The following is a 10158-nucleotide window of genomic DNA, read 5'->3' on the forward strand; positions in this document are numbered from 1 at the left end:
TGGTACACACTTTTAAACAACTAGATGTCTTGTGAACTCACTCACTATCACACAAACAGCAAGGGGGGAATCCACCCCTTGATCCAGTCACCTCCCACCATGCCCTCTCTCCATTATTGGAGATTACAATGGGATGTGAGATTTGGGTGGGGACACAAATCCAAATCACATCACATTGCAAAACAGACTAAGACAAGAACCAGACAAATAAACATATAAAACAGGATTCACTCTGGGAATTGGCCCACATGATTATGGAGGCTGAGAAATTTCATGATCTGCCATCTGGAAGCTGGAGAACCAGGGAAACGGGTGGCACAAAACAGTCAGAATCCAAAGGCCTAAGGGTGGGTGTGGAAGGTGCGGGGAACTGAGGGGCTCTGCTCGTGTAAGTCCTGGAGTCCAAAGACACAAGAACCAAGAGCTCTGCTCTCTGAGGAGATGGATGTCCCAGCTCAAAAACAGAGAGGAAGTTTTCCCTTCCTCTACCTTTTTCCTCTACTTGGGCCCTCCATGGATTGAGTGATGCCCACTCCTAGTGGTGAGAGTCTTCTTTACTCAGTCTGCTTGTTCAAATGCAAATCTCTTCTGCAAACACACTCACAGACACACCTAAGGGTTTTACCAGCTACCTGGGCGTCCCATAGCCCAGGCAAGTTGACATGTACAGTTAACCATCACTTCCACCTACACATTGGCTGAGTTCCTCCATCTGCCAGGACTCCCTGGCCAATGTGGAATAACACTCTCTTGGCTTCCTTCTGAGGCTTGCTGGGGAATCAAATGAGAATTTGCAAGCCTGAAAGTTTGTATTAAAGAGTGTGATGCCAGTTTTTGATATTTGGTTGCTGACAACTTCCAAGTGCACCCTCTCAATTCCCGTGGAATGGAGATATCTTTATTTGTCTGGTTCTTGTCTTAGTCCATTTTGCATTGTGATGTGATTTGGATTAGTGTCCCCACCCAAATCTCACATCCAATTGTAATCTCCAATAATGGAGAAAGGGCATGGTGGGAGGTGACTGGATCAAGGGGTGGATTCCCCCCTTGCTGTTTGTGTGATAATGAGTGAGTTCACAAGACATCTAGTCTGTTCTCCCCACAAATGATGACAAAGCACATCTTGGCAAACTGCTGATAAAGCCCAGGTGCTTGCTCCTTTGGTGCCAGTGGGAGCTTGAAATCAGGTAAGGCCGGGTGTGGTGGCTCATGCCTGTAATCCCAGCACTTTGGAAGGCTGAGGTGGGCAGTTCACTTCAGGTCAGGAGTTCGAGACCAGCCTGGCCAACATGGTGAAACCCCGTCTCTACTAAAAATACAAAAATTAGCCAGGCGTGGTGGCATGTGCCTGTAATCCCAGCTACTTGAGAGGCTGAGGCAGGAGAATCACTTGAACCTGGGAGGTGGAGGCTGCAGTGAGCCGAGATCTCACCACTGCACTCCACCCTGGGTGACAGAGTAAGACTCCATCTCAAAAAATAAAAAATTACAAAAATTGAAACCAGGCAAGCTGCTGTACTGCATTTGGGAATCTCACCCTACCCTGCTCCTTACCCACAATAAAAATTCAATCTAGAGTTTTTTCTTTACCATCTTGGTCTATTCTGGATCAGCTTGGAAGATCTTTCCTGCTCTCCCGCAAAAGCTGTATTATGTAAGAAATATGTGTTTGCATACTCTGTTTGTATGTGTGTATGTGTGTATGTGTGTATGTGGGGGGTGGGGTGGGGGGGTCATGAGTCTTGACATCCTGACCAAATTTGGGAGGAACAGGTGCATCCTATTATTTCAAGATGGCCTCACCAGCGCAGCATGGTGGCTCATGCCTGTAATCTTAGCATTTGGGGAGGCCAAGACAGGAAGTTCGCTTGAGACCAACAGTTTCAGACCAGGCTGTGCAACATAGCGAGATCTTATCTCTCTAAAAAAAATTAGCCAGGCCTGGTGGCACGCACCCCTATAGTCCCAGCTTCTCAGGAGGCTAAGAAGAGAGGATCACTTGAGCCCAGGAGTTCAAGCCTTCAGTGAGCCATGATTCCACCACTGCACTCCAGTCCCAGGCTCTTAGAATGAGACCTTGCTTTAAAAAAAAAAAAAAAAAAAAAAAGGCTATGGCTACACTAGTGTCCTTGGATAAAAGTAAAACGATCTAGATCGACACAACTATAATTCTTTTTTTTCTTTTTTTTTTTTTTTTGAGACAGAGTCTTGCTCTGTTGTCCAGGCTGGAGTGCAGTGGCGCGATCTCAGCTCACTGCCACCTCTACCTCCCAGGTTCAAGCGATTCTCTTGCTTCAGCCTCATGAGTAGCTGGGACTACAGGCGTGCACCATCATGCCCGGCTGATTTTTGTGTTTTTACTAGACACGGGGTTTCAGCATGTTGGCCAGGCTGGTCTCAAACTCCTGACCTCAAGTGATCTGCCCGCCTCAGTCTCCCAAAGTGCTGGGATTACTGGCAGGAGCCACCACACCCAGCCCACAAGGCCATAATTCAATTGTGAAGTTCCCAGTTGCCGATGATCCTGGCCTGCCTTCCTCAGTTAGAACCTTCTAGGCATGCACACAGGTGGGGTGGTCTGTGTTTTTCTTTTCCTTTTTCCATTTACATGGGATTTTAGACACACTGTGTAGTTGGAAGACTGGAAGATTTCTATTTGTAAATGAAATTCGACCTGAATGAGAAAGAGTCGTAACTCTACAGGGATCATCCATCAATGCCTAAGTTCCTTCCATCCCCAGTTTGAACACATCTGTTATGCATGAGACTCCTTAAGCTGCACAAAAAGCACACACTCATTTCATGCGATGGACAGCCGGAAGCAGTGCATCCTGCAGGCTAGGATGTGTTGCTTTGTTGAAAGCTTTGCCGGACAGCCTGTAATTTGGAGGGAGAACGGCCTGAAGCATTCAGATTCAGCAAAAGGCTCTTCTTTTGAAACCAGATCATACTGTTATCACCAGAAAGAGGTCCCGATCCAGACCCTCAAGAGAGTATTCTTGGATCTTGCCCAAGAAAGAATTTAGGGCGAGTCCATAAAGTGAAAGCCAAGTTTATTAGGAAAATAAAGGAATCAAGAATGGCTACTCCATAGCCAGAGTAGCCCCAGGACTGCTGGTTGCCCATTTTTATGGTTATTTCTTGGATATGCTTAACAAGGGGTGGATTATGGTTATTTGTATGGATATGCTAAACAAGGGGTGGATTATTCATGCCTCCCCTTTTAGACCATATAGGGTAACTTCCTGACGTTGCCATGGCATTTGTAAACTGTCATGGAGCTGGTAGGAGTGTAGCAGTGAGGACCACCAGAGGTCACTCTTGTGGCCATCTTGGTTTTGGTGTGTTTTCGCCGGCTTCTTTACCTGTTTATCTTTTACCTGTTTTACCAGCAAGGTCTTTATGACCTGTCTCTTGTACCGACCTCCTATCTCATCCTGTGACTTAGAATGCCTTAACCATCTGGGAATGCAGCCCATAAGTCTCAGCTTCATTTTGCCCAGCCCCTATTCAAGATGGAGTTGCTCTGGTTCAAACACCTCTGACCATACTTTAACCTGATTCTGCAAAAAGCCCTCTCATCAGATGCCTCTGCAGCATGGAGGGTCGCAGATTGAATATACTCTTTTCTAGGTCTTGAGTGGATTTGTTGCAGAGCCAGTGAGCAAATGCAGTTATCACCACCTTGGTTTGCCTGTGACTGTCATCATGATGAAACAGCTACATTGTCTGGGGTACATACCCTGGGGTTCATTGTCTCGCACCGAGAAAGAATTCAGGACACAGACACGTGTGGGTGGATTAAGGAGTGGAAAGTTTAAGAGACAAAGAAAGGAAAGAAGAGAGCAGCTCCTTGCCAGAGAGAGAGAGAGAGAGAGACATCTGAAAAGTAGGGAGGTGGCAGTCAGCAGCAGATTTTATAGGCAGGCTGGAGAAGGTGGTGTTTGATTTATGTAGGGCTCACAGATTGGTTCCATCAGGTACGTTTACATAGCGCCTGTGGGGAAGGCTGATTGCCCCACCTTAATCTTATTATGCAAATGGGCTTTCCACTTGATAGGCGCCATCTTGTCTGCTCCTTACTGTACAAGTGGCCGACAAAGAGGAGGAAGATGGAGCCACCCTGTTGAACGTCTCTAGTCCCTAGTTCCTGCCGGCATTCACCCGTGCAAGCTCCCAGCTGGCTTGTCTATGTCTGCAGCTTGACTTGACAGGCTGCTCTTTGTTAGAAAATGACTTGGGGCTGCTTTTCATTAAAGAGAAAAGCCTTACCAAGGACTCCCATACCCTTACTGTCTGCCTAAGTGATTTCTTCTTAACTCCTGTATCACTGGCAGACTCCCAGTTGCCTGTTGGGTGGAGTACTATATTGCCGAGTATCATGACTGTATTAGATGTGAGGGAGACAGTGTGAATAGGACATGGTCCCTGAAGAGCACAGAGCTCTCATGTGGGGCTGGGCGGAGCTTCTGTCCTATCCAGTGTTACGGAACCCTTGCAAGCACAGGTCAGGCAGCTCCAGTGCTGGAAGACATGCACGCAAAATCCAGGGGGACCATTGCAAAGAGGTTTAGTGTTTCTTGGAAAAATGCCAGAAGTCTGAAGAAGTGGTGGCCCCGAGCAGCTTTGAAGGATGTGCATGCAATTAAACCGAAGCCAAAGGGTCAGAGAGAGGAGTGAGAGCCAGGTAGGAATCTATGTGCAGCTTCATCATAAACTCACAGGCAGGCTTCATGCAGCACCGTCTCAGTGCATTCAATGTTTGGATTCCACACGCATGCATCCTCAACCCCCTTGCAATGCTATTCTCCCTGGAGGGAAATGGGTCATTCTTACTCTATCATATGCAGATATCTGGTCAACCAGATAAATGTGTGAGAAAACACCAACAAAGCAGAAATTACTTTTAATTATAGAGCAGAGTCATCGTAAAAGTTTGTGCAAAAAAAATTTTTTTTTTTTTTGTGGCTGGGTCTCCCTCTGTTACCCAGGCTGGAGACCTGGAATGCAGTGGTGTGATCATGGCTCACTGCAACTTCGACTTCACAGGCTCAGGTGATCCTCGCACCTCAGCCTCCCAAGTAGCTAGGATGACAGGTGTGTGCCACCACACCTAGGTAATTTTTGTATTTTTTGGTAGAGATGAGGTCTCACTATGTTGCGCAGGCTGGTGCTGAAATTCTGGGCTCCAGTGATCCTCCTACCTCTGCTTGCAAAGTACTCGGATTACAGGTGTGAGCCACAGTACCTAGCAAGATTTTTTTTTTTTTTTTTTTGAGATGGAGTTTTGCTCGTGTTGCCCAGGCTGGAGTGCAATGATGCGATCTCGGCTCACGGCAACCTCCGCCTCCCGGGTTCAAGCGATTCTCCTGCCTCAGCCTTCCCAAGTAGCTGTGATTACAGGCATGTGCCACCACGCCCGGCTAATTTTGTATTTTTAGTAGAGACGGGGTTTCTTCATGTTGGTCGGGCTGGTCTCGAACTCCCAACCTCAGGTGATCTGCCCGCCTCGGCCTCCCAAAGTGCTGGGATTACAGGCGTAAGCCACTGCGCCTGGCCAGCAAGATTCTTTTTAAGGCACTTATTTTTATTTAGGGAATGAGAGACTGTACAATATTGTAAACAAATAAAATCAGAAAACATATTGTGTTTCCACGGTTCCAACACATATGGGTCACATGAATTGCGTGAACTCACTGTTAAGTGCATGGTAAATATCATGCTTTAAAAAGAGAAAGATGTTTCGGCATCACTTTTTTTTTCTTTTTCTTTTTTCAGATGGAGTCTGGCTCTGTCCCCCAGTCTGGAGTGCACTGGCACCATGTCAGCTCACTGCAACCTCCGCCTCCTGGGTTGAAGTGATTCTCCTGCCTTAGCCTCCTGAGTAGCTGGGATTACAGGCGCCTGCCACCATGTCTGGCTAACTTTTGCATTTTAGTAGAGATGGGGTTTCACCATGTTGGTCAGGCTGGTCTCAAACTCCTCAGCTCAGGTGATCCGCCCCCCTCCGCCTCCCAAAGTACTGGGATTACAGGTGTGAGCCACCGAGCCTGGCCCAGTATCACTTGCTTAAATATTTTAGAAATGTGTAGAACTTTCAGGAAGTTACAAAAACCATGTTCCATGAGCTATTTTAACATATTTACTTGACAGCTGTCTCATGTGGCTTTTGTAAATAAAAGTACAAGTACGGCCGGGCACAGTGGCTCCCACCTGTAATCCTAGCATTTTCGGAGGCCAAGGTTTAGGATCCCTTGAGACCAGGAGTTGGAGACCAGCCTGGGCAACATGGTGAGATCCCATCTCTACAAAAGAAAAAAAAAAAATTAGCTGGATGTGGTAGGATGCACCTGTATTCCCAGCTACTGGGGAGGCTGAGGTAGGAGGATTGCTTGAGACCAGCAGGTCAAGGCTGCAGTGAGCTGTGATTGCACCACTGCACTCTAGCCTGGGTGACAGAGCAGAACTCTGTCTTTAAAAAATAAAAATAAATAAATGCAAGTGTATGGAGCACTCAGCCTAGGAGTGTTTTTAGCACGAGCTGCAATTATAGATGGGGTCAGCTGCATGACCCAAGATGAAACCTAGAAGAAAACACTCACGTTCACCACCACCATCAACAGTGCCTTCCGCAACACATCCCTCCATGGGAACTGCCAGATGTTTCTTTCTCTCTATTGTGTAGCTAAATATTTTCTGAACTATATTGGGCAATTCTTTCCAACACAAATGTCTTGGAATGCTAATAAAAGTGCCTGGGGAAAAAAAGAGGCTCTAAATTCAGGGGGAAAAAATGTGGAAAAGACTGAGCTTCTCAGAGTTGAGCGGTTCTTTTCAGCAAGATTTCTCAGTCTTTTGTTTGCTGAAGGGCAATTAAATCTCCCAGGAGAGATACTGTGGGTACTGTGGTCCGCGTGCCCAAAATTCTTTAACCACAGAACTGTTTTTGCTAAAGTCAGTTATTAACATTTCAATCACATGGGATTCCAGGGACTAGAACCTTAAAAGTCCGAAAGTCACTGAAGCATTTGTTCAATAATCCCAGTCAGATAAAATTTACTAGTTACAACAACTTTGGACAAGAGTCGGATGCCTTTTCAAAGGAAGTTGAATGGTGCAGTATAAATGTGCCATGCACCCTCCATGGAAACACAAGATTTATGTTTCATGCACGTGTGGGTGAAAATTTTCACATGCTAAGTGCTGTGTTATCTGAGTTTGTCATGTTTTCTCAACAAGTGCGTTTCTTTTTTTTGAGTTGTTTTGTTTTGTTTTTTGAGATGGCGTCTCGCTCTGTCACCCAAGCTGGAGTGCTGTGGCACGATCTGGGCTCACTGGAACCTCCGTCTCCTGGGTTCAAGCAATTCTCCTGCCTCAGCCTCCCAAGTAGCTGGGATTACAGGTGCCCACCAACACTCCTGGCTAATTTTTGTATTTTTAATAGGGATGAGGCTTCGCCATGTTGGCCAGAATGGTCTCAAACTCCTGACCTCAAGTGATCCTCCCGCCTCGGCCTCCCAAAGTGCTGGGATTACAGGTGTGAGCCACCACACCTGCACAAATTTGAGAACTGACTGCACACTCTGAGGATTTTAGACTTCAGCCAAGGCAAAACTCCAATTATTAGTTTTCGAATCATTTTACTTGTCAGGACATAGGTGCAGTTCCAGTTAACAGGGAAGAGTGGCACACCTGCTTATGCCTAATTATAAAGTAACTGAGGAAAACCATCAGTGTTTTCCAGGAAGTTGACAAAGTCCTGGTTCTTTATGAATGAGTTCAGAATCTGCCATTGAGGTTTCCAGAGATGCCAGACCTAAGAAATGCTGGGGAAATAAAGACACTTAAAGAGATAAAAACTGGCTGGTGTGATGGCTCACGCCGGTAATCCCAGCACTTTGGGAGGCTGAGGCGGGCAGATCACGAGGTCAAGAGACAGAGACCATCCTGGCCAACATGGCGAAACCCCGTCTCTACTAAAAATACAAAAAGTAGCTGGGCGTGGTGGTGCGCACCTGTAATCCCAGCTACTCGGGAAGCTGAGGCAGGAGAATCACTTGAACCTGGAGGCGGAGGTTGCAGTGAGCCGAGATCTGGCCACTGCACTCCAGCCTGGTGACAGAGTGAGACTCCGTCTCAAAACAAACAAAGAAAAGAAAGTAGAGGAATAAAAGAATGGCTAGTCCACATGCAGAGCAGCCCTGAAGGCTGCTGGTGGGCCATTGTTATGGTTGTTTCTTGATGATATGCTAAACGAGAGGTGAATTATTCATGCCTCCTGTTTTTAGACCATAGAGGGTAATTTCCTGATGTTGCCATGGCATTAGTAAACTGTCGTGGTGCTTGGTGGGAGTGTAGCAGTGAGGATGACCAGAGGTCACTCTCATCACCATCTTGGTTTTGGTGGGGTTTGGCCAGCTTCTTTACTCCAACCTGTTTTATCAGCTAGGTCTTTGTGACCTGTAGCTTGTGTTGCCTTCCTATCTCATCCTGTGTCTTAGAATGCCTAACCTCCCAAGAATACAGCCCAGTAGGTCTCAGCCTTGTTTTACCCAGCCCCTATTCAAGATGGAGTTGCTATGGTTCAAACACCCTCTGACACTGCCTGTATTAGTCTGTATTTATGCTGCTGATAAAGACATACTCGAGACTGGGAAGAAAAAGAGGTTTAATTGGACTTACAGTTCCACATGGCTGGGGAGGCCTCAGAATCATGGCGGGAGGCAAAAGGCACTTCTTACATGGCGGGGGCAAGAGAAAAGTGAGGAAGAAGCAAAAGCCGAAACCCCTGATAAACCCATCAGATCTTGTGAGGCGTATTCACTATCACAAGAATAGCATGGGAAAGACCATTCCCCCATGATTCAATTACTGCCCCTGGGTCCCTCCCACAACATGTGGGAATTCTGGGAGATAGAATTCAAGTTAAGATTTGGGTGGGGACACAGCCAAACCACATCACTGTCATTTTGTAAAAGATGTGCATTTTTGTCTTCTCCGGTTGCCATAACAAATCACCACCAATTTTGTGGCTTTAAAAGAACAGAAATGTAGTGTCTTCTGATTCTGGAGTTCAGAAGCCTGAAATTAGTATTGCTGGGCTAACACCCAGTTGTTGTCAGAGCTGATTCCTTCTGGAGTCTCCAGAGCAGAACCTACTCCCTTTCCTTTTGAAGCTTGTAGAGGCTGTTTTGCCATGCCTTGGCTTGTAGCCCCTTCCTCTACCTTAAAGACATCAGCACATTTCCCTCCTCTCAGACCTCTGTTTCTATCCCCACATCTCCTTGTCTGACTCTGACCCTCGTGCGTCCTCTTTCCGGTATAAGGGTGCTTGTGATGACATTGAGATACCCTCATTATGATCCAGGATAATCCTCTCATCTTAAAATCCTTAATCACTTTTGCAAAGTCACTTTTGCCATATAAGGTCACATATTCACAGATTTCAGGGATTAGGATGTGGGCGTCATTGGGGCCATTATTCTGTCTATCACATGGAGATTAGGATGTGGACATCTTTGGGGCCATTATTCTGTCTCCCACATGGGGATTAGGACATGGACATCTTTGGGGGTCATTATTCTGTCTCCCACATGGGGATTAGGACATGGACCTCTTTGGGTGTCATTATTCTGTCTACCACATGGGGATTAGAATGTGGACCTCTTTGGGGGACATTATTCTTTCTACCACATGGGGATTAGAATGTGGACATCTTTGGGGGACATTATTCTGTCTACCACATGGGGATTAGGACGTGGACATCTTTGGGGCCATCACCTGTCTACTACATGGAGATTAGGACATGGACATTTTGGGGGTCATTATTCTGTCTACCACATTAGGATTAGGATGTTGACATCTCTGGAGCCATTATGTTGTCTACCACATGCGGATGAGGACATGGACATCACTGGGGCCATCACTTTTTCTACCAGAAGAGGAAAGAGTATTGGGTTTAGGGTGAGGGGACATAAGTATGTGGTCCCAGAACTACCATTGGTTAGCTCATTACACTGGACAATGGACCTTGCCTCTAGGTCCTTGGGTCCTACATCTGTATTGTAGGGGTAATCCATCCTACATCAGATCTATGGTATTCAAGTAACGGGAACAGGCTAATACAGTCAGCCACTCAAAATGGCTTCATAACATCCT

At 46.4% G+C, this 10158-nt stretch overlaps 1 annotated feature.

Moving 5' to 3' along the window:
- Window positions 3640–4367: an enhancer, noted in NCBI's record as "H3K4me1 hESC enhancer chrX:2467730-2468457 (GRCh37/hg19 assembly coordinates)". NCBI's record gives its function as "activates a minimal SCP1, AML or CMV promoter by ChIP-STARR-seq in primed H9 embryonic stem cells {active_cell/tissue: H9 hESC(primed)}" and the evidence as "EXISTENCE:reporter gene assay evidence [ECO:0000049][PMID:30033119]".

Source organism: Homo sapiens, chromosome X (assembly GCF_000001405.40).
Source record: "Homo sapiens chromosome X, GRCh38.p14 Primary Assembly".
NCBI lineage: Eukaryota > Metazoa > Chordata > Mammalia > Primates > Hominidae > Homo > Homo sapiens.